General features: G+C 41.8%; 2 protein-coding genes and 1 pseudogene across 21 annotated transcripts in view, besides 7 other annotated features; 2 read left to right on the top strand and 1 right to left on the bottom strand.

Moving 5' to 3' along the window:
- The window catches only part of NIF3L1 (NGG1 interacting factor 3 like 1), a 14,606-nt gene extending 6,701 nt beyond the window's left edge, over nucleotides 1-7,905 (bottom strand). The window contains exons 1-5 of one of the 11 annotated variants that reach the window (NM_001369444.1): nucleotides 7,841-7,905; nucleotides 4,853-5,496; nucleotides 3,824-3,986; nucleotides 1,842-1,968; nucleotides 18-156 (exon numbers count right to left, since the gene is read on the bottom strand). In NM_001369444.1, the coding sequence (NP_001356373.1) occupies nucleotides 18-156; nucleotides 1,842-1,968; nucleotides 3,824-3,986; nucleotides 4,853-5,288 (865 nt within the window). In that variant the 5' untranslated portion in view covers nucleotides 5,289-5,496; nucleotides 7,841-7,905. Of the gene's footprint in view, nucleotides 1-17; nucleotides 157-1,841; nucleotides 1,969-3,823; nucleotides 3,987-4,852 lie in introns of all 11 variants that reach the window. The other 10 variants (NM_001136039.2, NM_001142355.1, NM_001369441.2 and 7 more) reach the window with 10 other exon arrangements.
- Nucleotides 7,078-7,327: an enhancer, noted in NCBI's record as "active region_16968". NCBI's record gives its function as "activates an Ori minimal core promoter by ATAC-STARR-seq in GM12878 lymphoblastoid cells {active_cell/tissue: GM12878}" and the evidence as "EXISTENCE:reporter gene assay evidence [ECO:0000049][PMID:35858748]".
- Nucleotides 7,320-8,519: an enhancer, noted in NCBI's record as "BRD4-independent group 4 enhancer chr2:201753436-201754635 (GRCh37/hg19 assembly coordinates)". NCBI's record gives its function as "activates an origin of replication core promoter dependent on BRD2, P300/CBP, MED14 and CDK7 cofactors, and independent of BRD4, by STARR-seq in HCT116 cells {active_cell/tissue: HCT116}" and the evidence as "EXISTENCE:reporter gene assay evidence [ECO:0000049][PMID:35650434]".
- Nucleotides 7,320-9,075: a biological region, named in NCBI's record as "BRD4-independent group 4 enhancer GRCh37_chr2:201753436-201754635".
- Nucleotides 7,586-8,330: an enhancer, noted in NCBI's record as "NANOG-H3K27ac-H3K4me1 hESC enhancer chr2:201753625-201754369 (GRCh37/hg19 assembly coordinates)". NCBI's record gives its function as "activates a minimal SCP1, AML or CMV promoter by ChIP-STARR-seq in primed H9 embryonic stem cells {active_cell/tissue: H9 hESC(primed)}" and the evidence as "EXISTENCE:reporter gene assay evidence [ECO:0000049][PMID:30033119]".
- On the top strand, nucleotides 7,941-26,325 carry PPIL3 (peptidylprolyl isomerase like 3). 10 transcript variants are annotated; one of them, XM_005246652.6, is made up of 7 exons: nucleotides 7,941-7,988; nucleotides 9,547-9,619; nucleotides 11,460-11,534; nucleotides 14,797-14,890; nucleotides 15,744-15,811; nucleotides 20,195-20,313; nucleotides 25,711-26,325. In XM_005246652.6, exons 2-7 carry the CDS (start codon nucleotides 9,617-9,619, stop codon nucleotides 25,835-25,837), a joined length of 486 nt encoding a protein of 161 aa, XP_005246709.1. In that variant the 5' UTR covers nucleotides 7,941-7,988; nucleotides 9,547-9,616; the 3' UTR covers nucleotides 25,838-26,325. The 10 variants fall into 10 exon arrangements, with proteins under 10 accessions (XP_005246709.1, XP_005246708.1, XP_011509660.1 ...); XM_005246651.4 differs by lacking the exon at nucleotides 14,797-14,890 and adding an exon at nucleotides 11,865-11,970; XM_011511358.3 differs by having other exon boundaries at nucleotides 7,941-8,283.
- Nucleotides 8,218-8,467: an enhancer, noted in NCBI's record as "active region_16967". NCBI's record gives its function as "activates an Ori minimal core promoter by ATAC-STARR-seq in GM12878 lymphoblastoid cells {active_cell/tissue: GM12878}" and the evidence as "EXISTENCE:reporter gene assay evidence [ECO:0000049][PMID:35858748]".
- Nucleotides 8,331-9,075: an enhancer, noted in NCBI's record as "NANOG-H3K27ac-H3K4me1 hESC enhancer chr2:201752880-201753624 (GRCh37/hg19 assembly coordinates)". NCBI's record gives its function as "activates a minimal SCP1, AML or CMV promoter by ChIP-STARR-seq in primed H9 embryonic stem cells {active_cell/tissue: H9 hESC(primed)}" and the evidence as "EXISTENCE:reporter gene assay evidence [ECO:0000049][PMID:30033119]".
- Nucleotides 8,588-8,637: an enhancer, noted in NCBI's record as "active region_16966". NCBI's record gives its function as "activates an Ori minimal core promoter by ATAC-STARR-seq in GM12878 lymphoblastoid cells {active_cell/tissue: GM12878}" and the evidence as "EXISTENCE:reporter gene assay evidence [ECO:0000049][PMID:35858748]".
- RNU6-312P (RNA, U6 small nuclear 312, pseudogene) lies at nucleotides 15,411-15,517 on the top strand (annotated as a pseudogene).

The following is a 26,325-nucleotide window of genomic DNA, read 5'->3' as shown; positions in this document are numbered from 1 at the left end:
GAAGGAGCTATATTTACCTAAGGTTCTCCCCACCCCAAGGGCTAAGCGAATATGAGATAGTTTTAGGTGTCTTTTTATTCGATCAATCATGGTTGCCAGGGAGACAGATTCATCCAGTGTGCATAACCGTCCCATTCCAGTATGTAGAAGCAAAGGCTGAGGAGAAACAGAAGTTAGAAACGGTGTGCATTGTTAGTCCTAAAACAACAAATGCTAAAATCATCAACATGCACACTGTGAGATTACTATAGCAAGCTCCAGGCTAAATGTGGGGATACAAACCTGACAAAATCATTCTTCTAGGAGTTCACAGTTTTCTAGGAAGGCAGATGTTTAAATCAATAATCAGGCCAGGCGCGATGGCTCATGCCTATAATCCTAGCACTTTGGGAGGCTGTGGTGGGTGGATTGTTTGAGCTCGGGAGTTTGAGACCAGCCTGGGCAACATAGTGAGACCTCATCTCCACAAAAAAATCCAAAAATTAGCCAGGCAGTGGCGTGCGCCTGCAGTCCCAGCTACTTGGGAGGCTGAATGGGAGGTGGGCTTGAGCTACCCAGGAGACAGAGGTTGTGGTGAGCTGAGATTGTACCACTGCACTCTAGCCTGGGGACAGAGCCAGACCCTGTCTCAAATAAACAAAATAATAAAACTGTTTAAATACAAGGTAGGTGCTACAGTTGCAGCAGCACAAAGAATGACAAACTAAATGAGCTGTGACTTAGGAGGCTTGGGGAGTACTTGGAGGAAGGACTTAGGTCTTAGAGAAAACCCTAAAAGAGTTAAAAAGGGGGAAATAAAGAGTTTAAAAAGGGGTGATGTCAAGTGCAGTGTGGCAGGACAGAGGTACGATGAGATGGAGAAAGGCATTCTAAACACAGAGGACATGGACAAAGGTGCCAAAAACTTGAGAGAACACACTATGGGGGCAGATCCAAAAGAAGACAGTATGGCTACTGTGCAGAGTACATGCTGTGGAAGGAGAGGAGGCTGGAGGCCCAGGCTGTAGCAGATCATTAAGGGCTTCCAACACCATGCTAAAGAGCCTGGACTGCCTCCTAGGTGCTCGGTGAGACTACTCTCATCGCAGAAAATGAGAGTTTCAACTACTGTGGTGGCAGAGCCAATACAGAGGAGAAACACTGTATAGATATGAGGCCAGACTCAGCAGGGCCTGGAGTCAAGGAGGAATGTGAAAACTTGGAAACTAAAGTAGATAATGATACTGAAATATGAAATATGGAAAAAAAAAAAAGCGGGGGTGGCAAACGGATAAAGTATTTGGATATACTGAATTTGAAATACTTGTGGGCTCTGTAAGTGCAAAACATCCAGAAAGTAGATGAAAATATGGGTTCTTGTCATTTTTTCCCTTAAGAAAGCATTCTAAGCCAAAAAGTAAAGATAGAAATCATCATACAAATGGCTATCAAGTTAAAGAAGTGAATGACATGGTCCAGGCAGAGCGTGTAAAATAAGGAGACAGCAAACCTGTAACCAAATCTGTAACCCTGAAGACGTACCAATATTTTCCTGTTCCTGGAATGTCTCCCTTTCTCAATTACTTCCTAGAGAATATTATGCTCTCATTGCCATTTTGTACTTTAGATAACAGTGAATGGCCTGTTGATCTAATAATTTACAAATGAATTTGCTGAAGAAAAATGCAAAGTAATGATATTCATCAAATTGTACACATCAAATATGTACAATTCTTAGTATATCAATTATACCTCAATAAGGTATACCTCAATATACCTAAGTATATCAATTATACCTCAATTATACTGTTAGAAAATGTGTGCACAGTATTTTAAGATCAAATACAAAATATTCTTATTACCTTCTCCAGTGACAGAATTTCCGTCTTCTGATAAAGTTGTTTGTTCCGGGAAAGAAAATCTACCACCTGCATCAAAGCCTTCTGAGTACAATTCAGATTAATCCGTGTTTGTTCCTCATTACCAGTCCTAGGGGGGAAAAATCACTCCATTTAGGACAAATATAGCCAAAATGTATTTTAGATAATCCACAGTTTACAAACCTACTATAATAGATTAGATTTATGTGGAACCAAGGATTTAACCAACAGAACCCATTTAATCTGAAACTAATCCATTTTCTAGAATAGCATTTCTCTAACTCTACTGGGCATCAGAATCACCTGGAGGATTATTAAAACACAGAGTGCTGGGCCCCACCCCTGGAGTTTCTGATTCATTATATCTAGGTGGGGGTCTGAGAGGTTACCTTTCTAACAAGTTCCAGGTGATGCTGATGTTGCTGGTCCAAGGACCTCACTTTGAAACCACTGTTCAAGAACTGTTCTCAATCCCGATTGTGCATCAGAAATTTCTTGGCCAGGTGCAGTGGCTCACATCTGTAATCTCAGCATTCTGGGAGGCCAAGGTGGGCGGGTCACTTGAGCCCAGGAGTTCAACACCAGCCTGGGCAACATAGCAGGACCCTATCTTATTATTTTTTTAATTATTAAAAAATTAAAGTTAAAAAAAAAAAAAAAAAGAAGGCCAGGCACAGTGGCTCACACCTGTAATCCCAGCATTTTGGGAGGCCAAGGTAGGTGGATTACCTGAGATCAGGAGTTCAAGACCAGCCTGTCCAACATGATGAAACCCCATCTCCACCAAAAATACAAAAAAAATTAGCCGGGCGTGGTGGGGGGCGGGTGCCTGTAGTCCCAGCTACTGGGGAGGCTGAGGCAGGAGAATCACTTGGACCTGGGAGGCGGAGGTTACAGTGAGCCAAGATCACACCACTGCACTCCAACCTGGGCAACAGAGTGAGACTCTGTCTCAAAAAAATAAAAAAAATTCCTTCTAGCTTCTTAAAATAACAGCTGCTGGATCCTTCCACAGAACCAGTGAACAGAACATCTACAAATGGGGCTGGGGCAAAATGAATTTTTTTAAAGCCTTAGAGATGATAATTTTAAAACATCATTGAATTTGAGAATGTCCTGGACAGATTCTCAGGCAAACTCCATTCTAATTATAAGGTCTGAGGTGAATACAAAAATCTGCATTTTTTTTTTTTTTTTTTGAGACAGAGTCTCTCTCTGTCTCCCAGGCTGGAGTGCAGTGGCGCGATCTCGGCTCACTGCAACCTCCGCCTCTCGGGTTCAAGTGATTCTCCTGCCTCAGCCTCCTGAGTAGCTGGGATTACAGGCATGCGCCACTACGCCCAGCTAATTTTGTATTTTTAGTAGAGACGAGGTTTCTCCATGTTAGTCAGGCTGGTCTCAAACTCCTGACCTCAGGTGATCCACCAGCCTTGGCCTCCCAAAGTGCTGGGATTACAGGTGTGAGCCACCGTGCCCAGCCTGGGAGTCTCTTAAAACAAACAAAAAAAGACTATTCAGAAAAATATTTCCCATGATGTTAAATAAAAAGACTGATTTATGAAAATATATATTTAAAATGTAAAGATAAATATAAAAAAGCACTTGGGAATCACTGATTTGCTGGGAACCAATAAAAGCCTTATCACCACATCACTAGGATCTATCTGTATTCTCTAAAGTAAAAACAACTATCTTTGAACATTACCAGGATTAGAAATACTGTAGGTAAAATGCATAGTATAGTCCCCTGACATAGAAAATACTTAGTGTTACTTACCGTTTTTATTGTTTTGAAAAAATTCCATAGTTCTCCAGGACCCACAAACAAATGAGGAGTATGCTACTTTGTAAATCAACTCCAGAGAAAACTATTTGTTTCAAGCCTAAATACCAGGGTTATAGACTTTGTAAGGAAGATGCTTACCAATAAATACACACAAAAAAAAGAGAAAAATAAATTGTACCTAGCAGAAAAAGAAGTGACAGAAACACCGTCAATTCCTTTCACTGCAGACATGACTTTGTCCAGGTCTTGGGTGTAGTTAACGTTGAATTCTACTCGGTGGTTTCCCTCTGTAGGGTAGTTGGGAGCTTTGGAAGGATGTATGGGCCTGGAGGTACAAGCTCCTAGAGAAAATATTGTGGGAAAATGGGAGTTTTGGGGGGTGAGAGATTAAGATTTAAAAGTAAACTATTATAGGCAAAATTTCTAAGAAATGACTTTTTAAAAAGATTCATTCTCATGCTTACATAACATACACACATCCCTTAGATATACATCACCAGTCCCCATAATCTAGGGCTTTGGCATGGACATACAAAATCAAATTATTTTCAGAATTATTTTCCAAAAGATTCTTAAATCTCTGAAAAACTTGGACAAGAAAGACTGATTCATACATTTTCAGATAATACACAGAATGGTCTACTGCTTGGTAAATCTAGCCATGTAAACCATCATTCAGGTTGCAAATGCTCATACTTTATTTGACCACATTAATCCAGATATCATCATAAAAGCTTTAGCCCAAAATGAGTAAACTAAAGACTTACTAAAATAAAGCTAAAATCCATCCATCATTCCCTCATTGTGCTAGGCATAAGTAAACATTCACTAAAAACATTCATTAAAACCCTGATGTCTATTTACTTGACTTATCAATCAAGTGTATTCTGGAGAGGCCTGAGCTTTCAATTCAACAAGCATTTTCCAAGTGCCTGGGTGACAGGCATTGTGCCACAAAAGTGAGGAATCATGAAGCTCAGTCCAGTAAGGAAGACTTCTGCTCTCCTTACTCCATAAGAATAAAAAATGTTTCCTTTTTCAAATGCAATTTAACTGCCAAATTTCAGCAACATTATTTTAAAATTATTATATAAAAATGGAATCATGCCCTCCCCAACCCTAAAGCAGTTAAAACTTTACTGGAAAGACATCCTAAAGTTTCAAAGTATTTGCAGGGAAAATATCAAATATGAAAGAGGCTTCTCACCAAGCCCTTTAGCCAACCAGTTGTTGACGCCCTGGGGCGCAGCATCATAGGCTGTATGAGGAGAGTAGATACCGACTCTGTTCTCCAGAGCCCGGATCACCAGGCGCTCCTTCCATGTGTTCCAGGTTATGCGCTTCATGGGTCGGAAGATAGGCGGATGGTAGGAGAGAATGAGGTCTGCCTTCTTTTGCAGCACCTCCTCCATCACTTCCTCAGTCAGGTCATTGGTCAGGAAGAGTGTATTTACAGTATGTGGTGGGCTTGGTTCCACCAGTAATCCAACATTGTCCCAACTCTCAGCAAACGAGAGGGATGCAAAGTCATTCAAGGAAGAAAGGAGAGCCTTCAAATCCATGAAGGAACGGGAAGAATTGCAGATCAGGGAATCTACAAACCGGACTGTCGTGGGGACTGGGCGTACGCAAGATGACAACATACAGAAATCAGGTAAAGTTCAAGTTTCTGATGTCAAAACAAAGAAAATGGTACACAGGTATACTTTAGGCCTGGATCTTTGAGGCATCAAAACATATGGGCAAAAGAGCTGTCGTCATAGAGATCTGGGTTCAAATAGTGGCTCTGCCACTTACCAGCACACTGTAACTTAGGTAAGCCATTTAACCTCTCCAATCTTGTTTTCTCACCTACGAAACAGAGATACTATAACCCACTTCACAGGCCATCCAGAGGAGCTAATGAATTATGTAACCTAGCAAAGCCTGGTACATAATACACAAACGTCCATCCCATCTCCTGCCTTGCACACCCTTGTTCTTATTCTCCCTACCCTTGCTTCAACCAACCTCCTCCCTAATCCATTTCTCTAAATATTACCTTTCCTTTTCCCAAGCCCCCTCCAACTTCTTAAATAAAACTTTTCTTGACCTCCCTTTTCAGCATCCTTCCCAAGGCTCCCCACCCCTCAGTATTCTCATAATTCTGTGTGTGCCCATTATGCTAAAGCTACTATGTAATAGGAACTAACTTCAATAAATCTCAGTATCACTAATATAAGCCAGCACTAAATGCTTACTGCATAGAATGACACTGCCCGCCTCCCCTGATTGCAACAGAATTTGGAGTTGGGGTGGTATATACTGGCATTACAATGTGCTTTACCAAAAAACAGAATAATGTGGCGGGGCGCCTGTAATCCCAGCACTTTGGGAGGCCGAGGCGGGAGGATCACAAAGTCAAGAGATAAAGACTATCCTGGCCAACGTGGTGAAACCGTCTCTACTAAAAATACAAAAATTAGCTGGGCATGGTGGTGTGCACCTGTAGTCCCAGCTACTCGGGAGGCTGACGCAGGAGAATCACTTGAACCTGGGAGGCGGAGGTTGCAGTGAGCCAAGATCATGCCACAGCACTCCAGCCTGGCGAGAGAGCAACACTCCGTCTCAAAAAGAAAAAAAAAAAAAAAAAGAATGTTTAAAATGTCAAGTGCTTTATCAGAATCAAAAATCAAGGAATACATAGGCAGGTCACTCTATAAATGGGCAGGGTCAAGGCAGAAGAAGGGAGAAGCCACTGCCCCTTAAGCAACATTTGCTACACAAAGGCCAGGCTCAAGAGGTGGGAGGGGATAAGGTATAGGGTACTTTTCCCAGACAGCCTGTAAGCCTTCTAAGTATCTACATCCAACAAGGAACTGAAAAGGTTGGCAACAGAGGGAAGGTGGGAGGGCAATGGAAAGGTAGAAAAAAACTGCTGGCTCCAAAATATGCACAATTAGTAAATGTTTAATCAAATAACCACAAAAGATAATGCTGTCAACCCCATTCTTAAACTTACCACTTATAAACACTTTTTGAAGAAAAACATTTCATAGTATGCACAATAAGAAAGCATAGCCAACTGTAAATTTGATGAAATATCCATAAGTCAATTATTCCAAAAGCAATTTTTCAACATTTCTATTTAATGAGATGAAGATGCTTGTTTAACACATTATTTGAAGTGATACAGGGTCTCCAAAAACCACTCGAGGTCTTGGAAGTTTGTTTTTGTTTTTTTCTTTTTGACACAGGGTTTCACTAGGCGCCTAGGCTGGAGTGCAGTGGCGTGATCTCAGCTCACTGCAGCCTCGACTTCCTGAGCTCAAGCAGATCCTCCCACCTCAGCCTCCTGAGCAGCTGGGACTACAGGCGCTAAACACCACACCTGGCTAATTTTTGTATTTTTAGTAGAGATGGGGATTCGCCATGTTGCCCAGGCTGGTCTCAAACTCCTGCGCTCAAGTGATCCACCTGCCTCGGCCTCCAAGAGTACCGGGATTACAGGGGTGAGCCACTGCGTCCGGCCTTGAAAGATCTTCTAATGGTCCTCATAGTACTCCATTCTCCAGCATTTTCTACATCTGGCAAGCTCGAAAGTGAAACCCTAGTGGGCCATCATGCAGGTTTTGAGTTATTTACTGTTACAGATGAGGAAACTGCGAAGCTACATGGCCACAGTCAACAACGACAACAGAAGGCAACATAGTATGGCGGTTAAGAGCACCGACTCTGAAGCCAGCCTGAATCCTAGAGCCAGAGCTGTGCAACAGCAGGTAAATGACTTATCCTGTGCAGTTTCCTCCTTAATGGAAATAGTGCCCAGGCCACAATATCGCGAGATTTACACGTAAAGCTGGAAACAACTCCCGTCCTAGAGTAAGCACTGTTTACTATTAAGCAGCATCAGTAGGGCCCCTTTGCAACCTGCAAACCGCTCCCTCGACGTTACCTCATCTATGCCTCATTTCAGTGCCACTTCAGGCCTTTTCCAGGACAGTGAAAAACCACGAGACACAGCCAGTTAAGTCTGAGTCAGGACCCCTGTCCCACTAGTGCGCTGTGCTCTGGTGCGGCAGGGCAGTTTTCTGACCCAATCTCCTCTTCTGCTGTCCTCTGCAGCACCAAGATAACAATCACAGCCGGCCCCAACCGGCACCTACCGCGAAGGTCACAACTACACTCGCGGGTTTTTAAATCGCCCACTACTCACCAGTCCCGGAAACTTCTCTGCGTCACTTCCGGTCCCGCGTCGGCGCTCCGGATGCTGTGGCACTTGGCTCCCCGTAGCGGGAGAGCTGGGCGGAAGTGGTCCTTTCCGTTTGGCAGCCGAGTGTAAAGCATTGCTTGAGGTTGCCCAGGTAGTTTCGCCTTACACTTCTTGTCCCAGTGCAATTATTAGTAGAGCTCCCTTTCACTGTCAAATTTCCGGTTGGGGATAAATTGCATTGTCGTTTTGGTTTGAGATAGGAAGATGAGGGGAGGAAGGAGGTGAGGCGGTAAGGGGCGTTCTCTCTCTTGGGTCCCGCGCCCAACTTCCGCTGGCCCAAAGAAACTATAATTTTGAACCAACAGACCTCTGCTGGCATCTGCGATTGCATTTTTCCTGTTTTAACAACGGCTGTGCTAGACGAAGTGGTGAAGCCCAAGTATGGAGTAACGTCATTAATTCTTTCATTCACTTATTCGAATGCTTGCTGAGTTCTGTGTTGCTACTGGTTTAGTTCTTGGGATACTGCGAGTGAACAGTGGGCGGCGAGGCTGTTGTTGCAACGTCAGAGTAAAAGAAGGACCCTGCACGGCGGCCTCCCAGCACTTCGGGAGGCCGAGGCGGGCGGATCACCTGAAGTCAGGAGTTCGAGACCAGCCTGGCCAACACGGCGAAACCCCGTCTCTACTAAAAATACAAAAATTAGTCGTGCATGGTAGCGCGCGCCTGTAGTCCCACCTACTCGGGAGGCTGAGACACGACAATCACTTGAACCCGGGAGGCGGAGGCGGAGGTTGCAGTGAGCCGAGATCCTGCCGCACTGCACTCCAGCCTGGCGACATAGCGAGACTCCGTCTCAAAATGAAAAAAAAAGAGAAGTTCATAGTATATTAGTGATAAGTGCTGTGGTGGAAAAAAAAAAGTTCATAGTATATTAGTATAAGTGCTGTGGTGAAAAAAAAAAAAAGCGAATTTCATAGTATATTAGTGATAAGTGCTGTGGGAGAAGGAAATAGGAATGTCCTAGGGCTGAAGGGCTAAAGCAGTTCTGTGTAGGATTGTCAGGTCAGTTAAACTTGACATTTAAGCAGAAATTTGGAGGTGAGGAAATTAGCCGTAGAGATGTCTGAGTATAAGAATTCCAGGCAAAAGGGACACCCAATGCCTGGACCCTAAGGGAAGGTATCTGGGTTATTGGGGGACTTGCAAGGAGGCTCTTGAAGAAGAGCAAGCCGGGCAAGTAGGAGATTGGGAGGCTTGAATCGGGTAGGATATCTTCTATAGCCGGGTTTTTATTACCTAGGGGATGCCATTAGAGGATTTTTTTTTTTTTTTTTTTTGACGGAGTCTCGCGCTGTCACCCAGGCTGGAGTGCAGTGGCGCGATCTCAGCTCACTGCAGCCTCCGCCTCCTGGGTTCAAGTGATTCTCCTGCCGCAGCCTGCTGAGTAGCTAGGACTACAGGCGCCTGCCACCACACCCGGCTAATTTTTGTGTTTTTAGTAGAGACGGGGTTTCGCCATGTTGGCCAGGCTGGTCTCGAACTCCTGACCTCAAGTGATCCACCCGCCTCGGCCTCCCAAAGTGTTAGGATTATAGGCGTGAGCCACCACGCCCGGCGAGGTTTTTATTTAAAATGTTCAGTAAAGATGAGCGTGTGTGAGTTAAGACAGGAAAATGAGCCTAATTCTTTTTTTCTTTTGGGACTAGAGACTTATTTTTGAGCTCGCTGTAAGACTGAGAAATCACGTAGTCCTTCCTGAAACCACTAAGAGGAAAAATGGTAAGTTTTGAGCAATTTTTATCTAATGTCTTTCATTATAAGTAATTTTTAGAAATTCAGTCAAGGGCAATAAAAGTTCATGGAAATTGCAGTGGCAAGATGGAGAAATTGTATAATATAGAAGCACTTAATATGGAATAATTCTTTTAAAAAATACACAAAATTGCTTTAAAATTCTTTAATGTTGTCACTTAAAATGCACAGAATTTACCTTTTTTTTTTTTTTTTTTTTTGAGTTTCACTCTTGTCTCCCAGGCTGGAGTGCAGTGGTGTAATCTCGGCTCACTGCAGCCTCTGCCCCTGGGTTCAAGCGATTCTCCTGCCTTAGCCTCCCCGGTAGCTGAGATTACACGCGCCTGCCACCACGCCCAGCTAATTTTTTGTATTTTTAGTAGAGATGGGGTTTCGCCATTTTGGGCAGACTGGTCTCGAACTCCTGACCTCAGGTGATCTGCCTGCCTTGACCTCCCAAAGTGTTGGAATTACAGGCGTGAGCCAACTCGCCCAGCCAGAATTTACCTTTTATGGAGAAAGATTGATTACAAGATAGATAGAAATGGAAAGGGAGAGTTGAAGGAGCAGAAGAGAATAGACAGGTCTGACAATTTTAATTGGATTATTTTGCTCTAGATCTAAAGTGGGCAACTAGGCTGGGCACAGTGGCTGACACCTGTGATCCCAGCACTTTGGGAGGCGGAGGTGAGAGGACTGCTTGATCCCAGGAGTTCAACACCAGCTTGGGCAACACAGTGAGGCCCCCGTCTCTACTTTTAAAAAAACAATTAAATAAAGTGGGCAACTAGAACCTGAAGTAGAAAAAGGCAATGAGAATAGTGCCCTGCTTCTCCCACACACATCTTTAACCTGCTCATACTCTCTAACTGCTAGGCCAGGCGCGGTGGCTCACGCCTGTAATCTCGGCACTTTGGGAGGCAGAGGTGGGCCAATCACTTGAGGTCAGGAGTTCGAGACCAGCCTGGCCAACATGGTGAAACCCTGTCTCTACTAAAAATACAAAAATTATCTGGGTGTTGTGGCATATCCCAGTAATCCCAGCTACTTGGGAGGCTGAGGCAGGAGAATTGCTTGAACGCAGGAGGTGGAGATTGTAGTGAGCCGAGATCACGCCACTGCACTCCAGTGTGGGCGACAGAGCAAGACTCCACCTCAAAAAAAAAAAAAAGGAGAAATGAAAAAGGAACCCTCCAAATTGTTTTCTCCCTCTCTGGAATACAGTATCATATCAAGGGGTATACAGGTTACAGAAAAACAGGTACAACAAAAACAAAAAGCAAGCAAGAAAGCACTGTGGTTATCTCTGCACATTTAAGATTTAGAAACACTGACACTTGTTATATTTTTGTTAGTCGAGAAAGGAATTATTTTTTAACCCTATTTCTCAGAATTAAATTACCTAAGGAAAATGGTGGAAATTATGTTTTGAAAAATCATTTTCTCATCATTTTTCTATAAATAAGGATGTTGGTGAATTGCCATGTACATCAATAATACATAACAATTGTTTTTATTTTTCTTGATAAAAAATTCAAAGTTAAAATAATTCTTTCCATCAAAATATTTACTTCCAAATTTTTGTCATGGATACTACTTAACCCTAACATTTATATTCTGGAGTTTTTTCTCTACTGTTGGGATCAATTTTGAGAAAAAAGTACAACTTAACCTCTAAGAGCTGCTTTGTGGATGGGTCATCTCTGAAGCAGTATTTCTGTCTGTTTTTATTCAGATTATCATCTTGAATATCCACACAGGGAAATAAACAATGCATAAAGTCACCTAAATAAATTTCATTTGTTCTCACATTTTCTCTCCTTTTTAGTCTGTGACACTGCATACAGATGTAGGTGATATTAAAATTGAAGTCTTCTGTGAGAGGACACCCAAAACATGTGAGGTAAGTACTATTATTTACATATTCAACATCAGTTAATACAACAAGATAAGCACTTTGGAATTGAATAATCTAACCTAAATAACAACAACAAAACTTTCTGTAAAACCATTGTTAGGGAAAACTAGCCATCCTAACTTCTGGCCTGATTTCCACTTATTTGTCCAATGTCAAAGGTGGATCAAAGAGAACGTAGATAATTTTTCGGTAACGATAGAGTAGCCAGTATCTTTTTCTTTTGAACTAATTTTCTTCAGGAAACGTAATCATTAGGACATTATATTACTTTTTTCTTTCTTTTTTTTTATTTATTTATTATTATTTTTTTTTGAGATGGAGTCTCGCTGTGTCCCCCAGGCTGGAGTACAATGGCGCGATCTCGGCTCACTGCAACCTCCGCCTCCTGGGTTCAAGCAAGTCTTCTGCCTCAGCCTCCCGAGTAAGTGGGATTACAGGCGTGCGCCACCATGCCTGGCTAATTTTTGTATTTTTAGTAGAGACAGGGTTTCACCATGTTGGTCAGGCTGGTCTCAAACTTCTAACCTCAGGTGATCCATGCACCTCAGCCTCCCAAAGTGCTGGGATTACAAGCATGAGCCACTGCACCTGGCCTTTTTTTTTTTTTTTTTTTTCTCAAGACGGAGTCTTGCTCTGTCACCCAGGCTGGAGTGCAGTGGCATGATCTTGGCTCACTGCAACCTTCGCCTCTGGGGTTCAAACGATTCTCCTGCCTCAGCCTCCCAAGTACCTGGGATTACAGGCACCCACCACCATGCCCAGCTAATTTTTATATTTTTTTAGTAGAGACGGGGTTTCACCATGTTGACCAGGCTGGTCTCAAACTTCTGACCTCAGGTAACCCGCCTGCCTCAGCCTCCCAAAGTGTTGGGATTATAGGCATGAGCCTCCATGCCCGGCAGGATATTATATTAAAGAATTGTTGTATACTTTTTTTTTTTTTGAGACAGGGTCTTGCTCTGTCGCTCAGACTGGAGTGCAGTGGTGCAATCACGGCTCATTGCAGCCTCAACCTCCTGGGCTCAAGCAATCCTCCCACCTTGGCCTCCCAAGTAGATAGGACTACAGGCGTGTGCCACCATGCCAGGCTAATTTTTTTTAAATTTTTATGGAGACGAGATCTCACTATGTTGCCCAACTTGGTCTCGAACTCCTGGTCTCCAGCCATCGTCCCATCTCAGCTTCCTGAAGTATTGGAATTATAGGCGTGAGCCACCATGCCTGGCCTGTTCTATACATTATTTCGCCTGTTTATTTTTATTTATTTATTTATTTATTTTGAGACAGAGTTTTGCTCTTGTTGCCCAGGCTGGAGTGCAGTGGCCCAATCTTGGGTCACTGCAACCTCCGCCACCCAGGTCCAAGGGATTCTCCTGCCTCAGCCTCCCAAGTAGCTGGGACTATAGGCGCCAGCCACCATGCCCAGCTAATTTTGTATTTTTAGTAGAGATGGGGTTTCACCATGTTGATCAGGCTGGTCTCAAACTCCTGACCTCAGGTGATCCACCCGTCTTGGCTGCCCAAAGTGCTGCCCAAAGCCACTGCACCCGGCCTGTGTCACCTGTTTAAATGACAAGGATGGAAGGAAGAAGAGTCACCTGTATATATTCATTTATTCAGCAATTATTTATGGCTGGGCATGGTGGCTCACATCTATAATTCCAGCACTTTGGGAGGCTAAGGTGAGCTCAGAAGTTCTAGGCTTACCTAGGCAATATAGTGAGACCCCCATCTCTACAAAACAATACAAAAATTAGCCAGATGTTGTGGTGTGACCCTGTTGTCCCAGCTACAAGGGAGGCCAAGGTGGGAGAATTGCTTGAGCCTAGGAGGTCAAGACTGTAGTGAGCTCTGATCACACTGCTGCACTCCAGCCTAGGTGACAGAGCAAGACCCTGTCTCAAAACGAAACAAGAAACCCATTATTCGTGAAAGGCTATCTTGCCCCAGAGTCTGGAGATACAGTGATGAGCAACAGACATTCCTTACCCTCATGGAGCCAATATTTTAGTTGTAAAAATAAGCAGGGCAGGAAAATTAAGTAATTATATTTTTAAGAAATTATTTTCATTTATTTATTTTTTTTTTAAAGATAGAGATGAGGTCTTACTATGTTGCCCAGGCTGGTCTTGAACTCCTGGACTCAAGTGATCTTCCTGCCTCCCAAAGTGCTGAGATTACAGGTGTGAGCTGCTGTGCCTGGCCTAAAATTAAGTAATTCTAAAAGATGATAATGCCTTGAAAAAAATTAAGTGTTGAGATAGAGAATAATGGGAAAGGAAGAAGGTGAGGGCAGGTGTAGCCAATAAACTAATACTTAAATTAAATGCAAAGGTATGAGGGCATCTCCATGGAAAGAGGTATAGAAAGAATATTCCAGGTATTCAGATTCAGAAAAGGTTGTGAAATAAAATTTTAAAAAATTCCAAGACCAGGCACGGTGGCTCACACCTGTAATTCCAGCACTTCGGGTGGCTGAGGCAGGAGAATCATTTGAGCTCAGGAGTTCAAGACCAGCCTGGGCAACATAGGGAGACACTGTCTCTACAAAAAAAAAAAAAAAAAAAAAAGAACATTCCAGATATAGAAATCTCAGGTACAGAGTACCCCAGGTAAGAAAAGCTGCCCCTTTTGGATTAATTGTCAGAATGCTGATGGAGTTTAGGTAGTAAGCAACAAGAAAGCAGTTCTTAGTATATGTGATGAGGAGATGAGCCAGGTACTGCAGGGCTTGTTAGGCCCTGCTGAAGATTTTCTTTTTGTTTTTGGTTGTTTTTTTTTTTTTTTGAGACGGAGTCTCTGTCGCCCGGGCTGGAGTGCAGTGGTGCGATCTCGGCTCACTGCAACCTCCGCCTCCCAAGTTCACGCCATTCTCCTCCCTCAGCCTCCAGAGTAGTTGGAGGCGCCTGCCACCACACCCAGCTAATTTTTTGTATTTTTAGTAGAGATGGGGTTTCACCATAGCCAGGATGGTCTCGATCTTCTGACCTCGTGATCCACCCACCTCGGCCTCCCAAAGTGCTGGGATTACCGGCGTTAGCCACCATGCCCGGCGAAAGATTTTGTATTTTATTTCAAGAGGAGAAGGAAGCTATTGAAGTGTTGTAGGCAGGGAAATGACATCCAAAGTAATGACAACAGTCATAGTTTAAATATGCTGCTATCACGTTTTCAGTAAATATGATTGGTTTTTTGTCTTAACTGGGTTTCTGCTGCATCATTTCTCAATCATTTTTACTCCCTTCAGAATTTCTTGGCTCTTTGTGCCAGTAATTACTACAATGGCTGTATATTTCATAGGAATATCAAGGGTTTCATGGTTCAAACAGGAGATCCAACAGGTAAGTTATTCCATTAACCAAGATCTAAGGAACTGAATGTATAGTATGAAGAAGTGGGTAAAAGAAGAGGAATTAAATACGTGGAGTTTTTGTTTTGTTTTGTTTTGTTTAATAAGTTCTGTTCTACAAGTACAGAACATGCAGGTTTGTTACATAGGTATATGTGTGCCATGGTGGTTTGCTGCACCTATCAGCCTGTCCTCTAGGTTTTAAGCCCAGCATGCATTAGCTATTCGTCCTAATGCTCTCCCTCCCCTTGCCCCCACCCACAACTAGCCCTGCTGTGTGTTGTTCCCCTCCTTGTGTCCATGTGATCTCATTGTTCAACTCCCACTTATGAGTGAGAATATGCGGTGTTTGGTTTTCTGTTCCTGTGTTAGTTTGCTGAGAATGATGGCTTCCAGCCATCCATGTCCCTGCAAAGGACATGATCTCATCCTTTTTATGGCTGCATAGTATTACATGGTGCAATTTTAAAGCAGAAATTATTAGCACCTACCCCTAAAATGTGAACAATATTGTGCTCACTTTGGCAGCACATATACTAAAATTTGAACAATACAGAGAAGATTAGTGTGGCCCCTGCACAAGGATGAGACACAAATTTGTGAAGCTTTTCATACTTAAATATATATGAACAATATTTATAAGGAGGGTTATTCTTTTTTGTTTTTTGTAGGTCTGTTTTAATCTTCAGGTCTGTGAAGTTAAATTTGGGGAATTAGGAAAGGCCATATCAAATTTTATCTATATTTAAGCAGTCAAACTATAAAGTATTCCTTAAGTTTTGGGAAATGAACTTGTTTTCAATTTAATTAAATACTTCTTTTGATTTGCTTCACTTGTAATGTAGGAACTGGAAGAGGAGGCAACAGTATTTGGGGCAAGAAGTTTGAGGATGAATACAGTGAATATCTTAAGGTAAATCCTCAATGCTTTAAAAATCTATTTCTCATGCCTTGGTTATGCATGGAAACTTTGATACATGTGTCATAGTGATACAAGTTAACATCATTGCAAAATGAACATACTTTTTTATAGTTTTTGTACATTTGACAAATGATGTCGGGGAGACTTGAGAAATGGTGATCCTAGCCTGACATGTGTACTGGAATCCCACCACCACGTGGCTCTTGATAGTAAGTGAGTTCATCTTTGAATCTAACCTGAAATGTTTAACTAGTAGTGTACCAAAGAGACTTAATATCTCACCATAAAATTCATGTTGAATGACATGAAACAGTGGCCTTTTTTGAGAGTGGGGAGGAAAGACTATCAAACTTCCTGGTTGCAATGTTGCCCATTATCAGTACCCAGCTTTTATCATCTTCTGTTAGATGTTTGAACATCCCTGTATTAATATGACTTAATACCTATGGTAGATCACAACTAGGTTAAAGAGTAGTACATATAAATAGTCTTTAACATGGTAAAATTAGGGATTTTTAATTTTCTTTGTTATATTTTTCTGTGTTTTTCAAACCTCTGTGGAGTCATTTTTTTTTTTTGTCTAAAATTAAAAATTAGTGCATGCCTAGTTTTAAAAATCAATCCCACTTCCCAGAGATAACTTCAGTTGATGACTTATTATGTGGTCTTTCAAACTTTGTATCTCCATAGAATGATAACTTTATGATTAGAAAAAGAGCAATGAAGTATCCTCAACCAGGGCCGGGTACAGTAATCCCAGCACTTTGAGAAGCCCAGTAAGGAGGATTGCTTGAGGCCAAGAGTTTGAAACCAGCCTGGGCAACATAGTGAGACCCCCATCTCCACAAAAAAATACAAATATTAGCCTGTTATAGTGGCGTGTGCCTGTAGTCCCAGCTACTCAAGAGGCTGAAGTGGGAGGATTGCTTGAGCCCAGGAGATCAAGGCTGCAGTGAGCCAAGATCATGCACAGAACGAGACCCCACTCAAAAAAAAAAAAAAGTCTACTCAATCAAAATATGCAGTTTAAGTGTATTATTATATTTCCATTACATTAAAATGTACCCACAAAAATTCTGAAAAAAATTCATTGCAGTGTTTATCTCTGGATGATGAGACTAGGAGTAATTTCTTTTCTTTTTGCTTTTTTTAAAACCTTTTTTTAGAGACAGGGTCTTGTTCTGTCCCCTGGGCTGGAGTGCAGTGATGCATTCTTGGCTCACTGCAGACTAAATTTTCTGGGCTCAGGTGATCCTCCCACCTCAGCCTCCAGAGTAGCTGGGACTACAGGTGCATGTCACCATGCCTGGCTAATGTTTGTATTTTTTGTACAGATGGTGTCTCACTATGTTGCCCAAGCTGGTTCATTTTACTTTTCTATTGTAAGGAAATGTATTAGTTTTGTTACAGGAGTTGAGGCTGGGAGGTGATAAACTTTTTGAAAAGTCAACTTTTTCCTGAATGAATAACTAAACAATTTTTTAGGTATTAATTATTACATTAATGACTGCTTCCATATACCAGCTGAAAACCAGAGACTGGCTATGACAGAATCACCTGTGGAACTTTGTTGTTTGTTTTTGAGACTGGGTCTCACTCTGTTGCCTAAGCTGAGTGCAGTGGCCTGATCACGGTTCACTGCAGCCTTGACCTGAGCTCAAGCAGTTTCTCCTGCCTCAGCCTCTCAAGTGGCTGGACCACAGGAGTGCACCACCGTGCCCAGCTAATTTCTGATTTTTTGTAGAGACGAGGTCTTGCTCTGTTGCCCAGTCTGGTCTGAAACTCCTGGACTAAGATGATCCTCCTGTCTTGGCCTCCCAAAGTGTTGGGATTATAGGAGTGAGCCACTGCACTTGGCTGGAAGTTTTAAAACTATAACAGATCATGGCCTTGCCCTCCTAAAAATAAAGTCAGTAGGGCTGGTTAGGACTTAGACTATATTTTAAGGTTCCTAGATGATTCTTTTGCAGGCAGAGTTAAGAACCATTATATAGGCCGGGCGCGGTGGCTCACACCTGTAATCCCAGCACTTTGGGAGGCCGAGGCGGGCGGATCACGAGGGCAGGAGATCAAGACCATGCTGGCTAACACAGTGAAACCCCGTCTCTGCCAAAAAATACAAAAAATTAGCCAGGTGTGGTGGTGGGTGCCTGTAGTCCCAGCTACTTGGGAGGCTGAGGCAGGAGAATGGCCTGAACCCGGGAGGCAGTGCTTGCAGTGAGCCGAGATCGTGCTGCTGCACTCCAGTCTGGGCGACAGAGCGAGACTCCGTCTAAAAAAAAAAAAGAACCATTATATTATACACCTTATACACCAAGATTGTGGATATGTATTGACTCTTCATATATTCTGGCCCAGGAATTCCATTCCCAAATGTTTACTCAAGAGAAACTTGTAAGTTTGCACCAAGAGACATGTACAGGAGTGTTCTGATGTACTGTTTGTAATAGCAAAAGTCTAGAAACAACCCAAATGTCCACTGATTGTAGATGAATCACTATGTAGATTGTGGATAAATTGTAGTATATTCAGTAGTGAAATATCACATAGTAGTAAAAAAATAGTAATAAACTATGGCTATATGTACATGTATAACCTTAGAAATGTAACAATGTTATTTGTAGAAAGCATTTCCCAGAAGACTAAAATGTTACGATGTAATTATATTCAGAAGGAAAAGGAAAGAATGTGTTGTTTAGGCATGTGTAAATGTGTTAGGGCTGGGCACAGTGGCTCACTCTTATAATCCCAGCACTTTAGGGGGCCGAGGTGAGAGGAACAAGTACTTGAGGCCAGGAGTTTGAGATCAGCCTGAGCAACATATTGAGCCCTCATCTCTACTAAAAGTTAAAAAATTAGCCAGGTATGGAGGTGTACATCTGTAGTCTCAGCTACTCAGGAGGCCAAGGTGGAAGGATTGCTCAAGCCTAGGAGGTCAAGGCTACAGTGAGCTATGATTGCACCACTGCACTCTAACCTGGGTGACAGAGTGAGACCCTGTCTCTAAAAAAAAAAAAAAATGAAAAAATGAAAAAAAAAAGGTATTAGAATAGTGGTTACCTCTTGTAGAGGCTGAGGTAATAAATGGAGAGGAGCACATGGATATATGTAATTAATTGGTAACTTTTATTTTTTCTTGAGCTCCCATTATTCAATGAATTGGTAAATTTTAACTCTGAAAGCTGGGAAATATGTTAATGGGTGCTTATTTTATTAACTTACATTTTTATTAACTATATTTTTGTGTATGTATTAAATATTGTGTATGTATTAAATATTACATGTGTATTTAATATTACATTTGATTGGTGGACACCTTTTAGGGAGACAAGCATTAATATTTTGATATAGGTGCTTCTCTATGACTTATTAGCGTCACCCAATGAATAGCTAAAGCTAGAGTAATTGGTGGAGTTGTAGTGTATTACAGGCACCTCCCTGTAACATAGTTCACAGTTACATCTTCATTCTTATCAGTAAGGTCCTTTTAATTTCTATACACTGTCTCTTGTAAACAAATACTATCATGATAGTAGAGCTAGGTGAGACCTTTCTTAGATCGTTCAGTCCTGGGGTTATAAACTGACTGCCCATGAGTGGAACACCCACAGATGCATTATCTGTGGCCCTTAGTTAAAAAATATATATTTAATGTCATTAATCAAGAGATAGCCTATTCATTTTGCCAGACTTCATCTCTCTCTAATGTTTACATTCTGCCCAATTGTCAGTTTATCTGCTTGACCCTTGTGAGCATCTGAGTTATAAATAGACCCTTGAACTAGTCCAGCCTCCCTTGTTTTACAGATAAAGAAACTAGCAAGAGTCCATTGTATGTGAGAAGAGATTGTGGGCATTTTGGTTTTGTTGCCTGCCTGATCATTTCATTCCAGCACACTATTCCTTAATATAAATGTAAGGATTATTTCTATTATTTGTTGGTATTGCAAAAAGTGTCCATGGCTGTATTTCTTCAAAGTGAAAATGAAATTAATTGAGAAATATTATTTGATATATTAACCTTTTACATACAAGTTTTCAAAGGTACAGAAAAGGCAGAAACTGAACATTTGGATTATCCCTAATAGAGAGAAGTTGGTTAAATGTTTTCTTGCTCCCTTAAATATTGTGAAGGTAAAGATTGAATGTCTTGGCTGGGTGTGCTGATTCACACCTGTAATCCCAACACTTTGGAAGCTAAGGCAGGAGGATCACTTGAGCCTAGGAGTTAGAGACCAGCCTGAGCAACATAGTGAGACCCCAATCTCAAAATATTTTTAAAAAAGAAAACAAAGGTGTGCCTGTCTTGTTTCAATACTATATTTGGGATGGTTATATAAAAACACAGTTAATACTTTGATGTGTCTTTTTCAGCACAATGTTAGAGGTGTTGTATCTATGGCTAATAATGGCCCGAACACCAATGGATCTCAGTTCTTCATCACCTATGGCAAACAGCCACATTTGGACATGAAATACACCGTATTTGGAAAGTGAGTATTCTGGTTATGGTTTTCTTTTAGCATTTCAATGCAAGTGGTGCATATGCTTAGCTGTGACAGTAGCATAACTAATATTGAAAAGAGTGAGGCCGAGCGCAGTGCCTCACACCTGTAATCCCAGCACTTTGGGAGGCCAAGGTGGGCAGATTGTCTGAGGTCAGGAGTTCGAGACCAGCCTGGCCAATGTGGCAGAACCCCTGTCTCTACTAAAAATATTTTAAAAAATTAGTTGGATGTGGTGGCACACACCTGTAGTCCCAGCTACTCAGGAGGCTGAAGCAGGAGAATTGCTTGAACCTGGGAGGCGGAAGTTACAGTGAGCCGTGATCATGCCATTGCACTCCAGCCTGGGCGACAGAGTGAGACTCTGCCTCAAAAAAAAAAAAAAAAAATGAAAAGAAAAGAAAGAAAAGAAGAGTGGTGTGAGAGCTAAACGTACCTGGAGTTTAAGTCTACCACTTAGCAACCCTGTGACCTTGGGAAAGTTATAATCTCCCTGAGCTTTATTTTCCTTATTTTGTAAAAGAGGCCAGTAATTTTTCAATATTGTTATGCAAATTAACATAGTATATCTATTTTCTTTTTCTTTTTCTTTTTTTGAGACGAAAGGCTCTGTCGCCAGGCTGGAGTATGGTGCAGTAGCACAGTCATGGCTCATTGCAGCCTCAACCTCCTGGTCTCAAGTGATCTTCTCACCTCAGCCTCTTGAGTAACTGGAACCACAAATGTGTACCATCATGCGCAGCTACTTTAAAAAAAAAAAAAACAAAAAAAACACTTTTTTTTTAGAGACATGGTCTCACTATGTTGCCCAGGCTGGTCCATTTTCATTAATGATAGCATTTCACAGCAACTAACAGATCTGAAAAATAGTGGCTTAAACAAGATGGACTGGCATGGTGGTTCCATTTTGTTACCAGTGTTCTAGGCGCCTCTGTCATAATATTGGCAGCACAGCTCTTATCAAAACTTCTGTGTATCAGGGAGGAAAGGGGAGGAAAGACAAAAGGTGCTTGCCAGCTGATTCACCTTTTTTAATTAACAGAACTTTCCCAGGCCTGTAATCCCAGTGCTTTGGGAGGCTGAGACAGGAGGATCACTTGAGGCCAGGAGTTCAAGACCAGCCTGTGGAACATAGCAGAACCCATCTCTATAAAAAAAATTTAAAAATTAGCCAAGTGTGGTGACACACACCTGTAATCCCAACTACTCAGGAGGCTGAGGTGGGAGAATCACTTGAGCCCAGGAGTTCCAGGCTGCATGAGCTGAGATCACACTTCTGTACTCCAGCCTGGGCAACAATGATACCCTATCTCTAAAAAAAAAAAGATAGAAAAAAAGAAAAGCCGGGTGCGGTGGCTCACACCTGTAATCCCAGCACTTTGGGAGGCCAAGGAGGGCAGATCATGAGGTCAGGAGATCAAGACCATCCAGGCCAACATGGTGAAACCCCATCTCTACTAAAAATACAAAAATTAGCTGGGTGCGGTGGTGCGTGCCTGTAATTCCAGCTACTCAGGAAGCTGAGGCAGGAGAATGGCTTGAACCCTGGAGGTGGAGATTGCAGTGAGCCAAGATTGCGCCACTGCACTCCAGCCTGGTGACAAAGCGAGACTCCGTCTCAAAAAAAAAAAACTTTCCCAGAAGACCCAGAACTTAGTAATGTGACCACTCCTTACCTACAATGGAGGGTAGAAAATGTATTTCAGCCACATTGCCACCCTTACTAAAATTAGATTTCTCCGAGTAAGAAGAATGGCTCCTAGGAAGGTATTTCACAGTTTCTGCCAGGGTATCTATTAAGAGTACTATGTCTGGGAGTTGCTTTTATAAATCAGTGGGAAGTCAATTTGTCTGTTCGTTCAACAAATAATTATCATGCTTAATAAACCAAGGCACAATTCTAGAGTTTGTTCTATTTAATAGTTTGGATGCCAAATTAGGTTAATTAAAAATAGAGGACTCCCAGTCTAGGTAACATAGTGAAACCCCGTCTCTACAAAAAAATTTAAAAATTATCCAGGTGTGGTGGCTCACACCTATGGTCCCAGCTACTTGGGAGGCTGAAGTGAGAGGATTGCTGGGCTCAGGGTGTCAAGGCTGCAGTGAGATCTAGACAGATCTTTTCTTTTTCATTCCATATACATGTATCTAATTTACACATTAATAATAATCAAGGAGAAAAGAAATATTACAACATCTAGTAGTTTTTTTATGTTTGTAAATAACCCAGTTTCCCTCTTATTTTCTCCCTTAACCAACATCATTCAAAATTATTGTTCAGTTATTACCAGGACTCATTTTACTGGATTTGCGACAAAACTGTAGAGTTTAGAACAAAGATTAACCTTAGGTTCATTAATTCCTTGTTTGTTGTATACAGATGCACACACATTTTTCTGGGAAGATGATCCAGTAACTTTCCTCTAGTTCTCCAAGGGGTCCGTTTCCCATATACTTGACTCTACTTAACTGCCTCAGTTCTACCTGCTGGGTTTTTTTAACTTTTTACCTGAGACCTATGTTTTCTACCTCCTCTGTTTCTCTTACTGACCTAGAAGGTGGGATAGCCTTTAAGACTTATAATTTAAAGACTTAAATGTCTATATTTAGGGGTAAAATCAAAATGTTTTGGTTGAAGTACCCATTTTGTGAAAATGCAAAATAAAATGCAAATCTGCTAATTTTTTTTTTTTTTTTTTTTTGAGACAGAGTCTCACTCTGTCGCCCAGGCTGGAATGCAGTGGCGCCATCTCAGCTCACTGCAAGCTCACCCTCCTGGGTTCACGCCATTCTCCTGCCTCAGCCTCCCAAGTAGCTGGGACTACAGGCGCCCGCCACCGCGCCCGGCTAATTTTTTGTATTTTTAGTAGAGACGGGGTTTCACCATGTTAGCCAGGATGGTCTCAATCTCCCGACCTCGTGATCCGCCCGCCTTGGCCTCCCAAAGTGCTGAGATTACAGGCGTGAGCCACTGCGCCAGGCCTACAAATCTGTTAATTTTTTAAAGTACATACCAGTGGTTGAGAATCCCTAATCTGAAAATTAAAAATTAGGAACTTTTTGAGCACTGACATGATGCCACAAGTAGAAAATTCCACATCTGACCTCATGTGACGGGTTGCAGTCAAAATGCAGTCAGATGACCAGGTGCAGTGACTCACGCTTGTAATCCTAGCACTTTGGGAGGCCAAGGCGGGCAGATCACGAGGTCAAGAGATCAAAAGCCACTCTTTCTTAGCAAATGTTTTAGACTGAAATTTCCAAAACTTGTATTTGAAGAATAGCTCTCAATATATTTTTTCTTGGTGGTAACATGAAGTGGGATTGCTGGAGGCTGTTAACTGTCAGTCTTCTCTTCTCCTATTTTTATTACTTCTTGTTGTTATCCAGAAGCAAAAAGTAGAAATGCCATAATTAGGCCAGACGTGGTGGCTCATGCCTATAACCCCAGCACTTTGGGAGGCTGACGTGGGCAGATCACTTGAGGTCAAGAGTTTGAGACCAGCCTGGCCAATGTGGTGAAATCCCATCTCTACTAAAAACACAAAAATTAGCTGGGCATGGGGGCATGTGCCTGTAGTCCCAGCTGCTTGGGAGGCTGATGCAGAATTGCTTGAACCTGAAGGAAGAGGCTACAATGAGTCGAGATAGTGCTACTGCACTCCAACCTGGGCAATGGAAGTGAGACTCCATCTCAAAAAAAAAAAAAAAGAAAGAAATACTATAATTAAACAATTAACTGCTGGGCTTGGTGGCTCATGCCTGAATCCCAACACTTTGGGAGGCCAAGGCGGGCGGATCACCTGAGGTCAGGCCAGACCAGCCTGGCCAACATGCTGAAACTCCGTCTCTACTAAAAATACAAAAATTAGCCAGGCGTGGTGGTAGGCTCCTATAATCCCAGCTACTTGGGAGGCTGAGGCAGGAGAATTGCTTGAACCCAGGAGGAGAGGTTGCAGTGAGCCGAGATCACACCATTGCACTCCAGTCTGGGGGACCAGAGCGAGACTTCATCTCAAAAAAAAAAAAAACAAGTACAAAGTGGAGTGGTCACCTACTTTAGGACTCTCATTGTAGGGCAGTATTGCTAATAGTGTCATCTACATACTTTCTCCATGTATTTCCTGTAGCAAAGAAATCTTTATGACTAGTGTGTTGTAATAAGACATACATATTTGGACTTCATCCGTGGTTTCCAGCATAGTTCTTTTAAAAACCTTGCAATTTCCTGAGTGACAGGAGTGAAAGGAATATTTTATTGTTCATAATAAACCCCATTCAACCATACCTGAGTTTATGCTAATGAGGTGACTCTTGGTGGGGTTCTAGATAGCTTCAGTATGGAGGGCTGGTTGCCAGAGGAATCAGCCATGTATTTTTAGAGGGGTGGAACATTCAGTGACCTCCTATTCTTGACCTCTGGGAAGGAGAGAAGGGCTGGAGATTGAGTTCCAGTCACTAGTGGCCAGTGATTTAATTAATCGTGCCTACCTAATGTGCCCTCCGTAAAAACCCTAAACAGGGTTTGAGAGCTTCCAGGTTGGTGAACACAAGTAGATACTAAGAGGGTAACACACCCCGAGAAGAGCATGGAAGCGCTGTGCCCCTCTCTCAGACTTTGCCCTATGCATCTCCTCCATTTGGTTGTTCCTGAGTTGTAACCTTTATAATAGCCCATAGTAATAAATAAAGTGCTTTCCTAAGTTCTATGAGCCATTTTTGAAAATTATTGAACAGAGCTGGGGGGCATGAAAAATCCCAAATTATATCATGGTTAGTCAGATAGTACAGATCACAATCGGGACTTGGAACTGGCATCCGAAGTGGTAGGGGCTGTCTTGTGGGATTAACCGGGGTCTCTGTTCACTCCTTGTAGTTAGTGTCACAATTAAATTATAGGGCCAGGTGTGGGGGCATGCATTTGTAGTCCCAGTGAGATCCTGTCTTTAAAAAATTAAATAAAATTTTGAAAAAATAATCAAGTTGTGGGATACCCAGAGAATTGGAGAACTGGGAAAACCCACACATTTGGTGTTGGAAGTATGAAAGTGTAGAAAAACAGTTTGTTTTCCCTTTAACTGGTTATATTAGTCCCATTTGTAGCTGTTCTCTGTCACTGTATGAATGGGGTAGAATATAATTTTAGGTACTATGGTGGAAATATTCCTACCCTTTGTATTGTTGACTAAGGGCATAAAAGTAAATTATTTCTGAATTTTGATCCATATCTATGATGGAAAATCAACATTTTGTTGTACATTCAACTAGAGAACTCAGAGATCTGTAAGACTTGATTATTTTTTAAGGAGACTGTAATTGTCATAGATATGGATATCATGTTTCAATTTAAGGAAATTTTCATATGTTATGTTGTTTCTCTTTCAGGGTAATAGATGGTCTGGAAACTCTAGATGAGTTGGAGAAGTTGCCAGTAAATGAGAAGACATACCGACCTCTTAATGATGTACACATTAAGGACATAACTATTCATGCCAACCCATTTGCTCAGTAGCTATGATAGACCTGGACAAATAACTTGACAAATTGCTGGAACACACTTATTGTGGTTTACCCGGTTTTAATTATGTCAGAGATTGCATCATCCTTCTGCTTGTTTACAACTATGATCTTCTATGAAATGGTGGTACCAAGGGGCGCCCAACAGCTTTTATCCCCATTCTTAGAGCATATTCTTTATTATAATGATTATCCAACATATTTCTTTAATTTTAATACAAAAAATACATCATTTAATTTTTGTTACATATGAACATTCATTTTTAAATGCTCAGCCTCAAGTGCAGGCATTTTTGAGTGGCCTGATTACATATTCCTCCCACAGCAAGTCCGTATCCTGGAAGTGTTATTTTATAATAAAATTTAAAAAGTTTTAAAGAATTAAATCGTAGGACAAATTAATTAAAATATTGTGTAAAATTACCTTCAGGCTATGTGTATAAGGTATATATGAAACGTAAATGAACTTCATGTTTAAATTTG

The sequence above is a fragment of the Homo sapiens genome, chromosome 2, assembly GCF_000001405.40.
Source record: "Homo sapiens chromosome 2, GRCh38.p14 Primary Assembly".
NCBI lineage: Eukaryota > Metazoa > Chordata > Mammalia > Primates > Hominidae > Homo > Homo sapiens.
The sequence above is the reverse complement of the archived record's forward strand: the minus strand, read 5'-3'. Positions and strand labels throughout refer to the sequence as shown.

Excerpts from the sequence above, each read along its gene's own strand:
- PPIL3 (XM_005246651.4), top strand. Across the intron at positions 11,971-15,743 it reads CTTCTGCCTCAGCCTCCCGA|GAACTGGAAGAGGAGGCAAC; the intron begins GTAAGTGGGATT and ends CTTGTAATGTAG. Across the intron at positions 15,812-20,194 it reads AATACAGTGAATATCTTAAG|CACAATGTTAGAGGTGTTGT; the intron begins GTAAATCCTCAA and ends TGTCTTTTTCAG.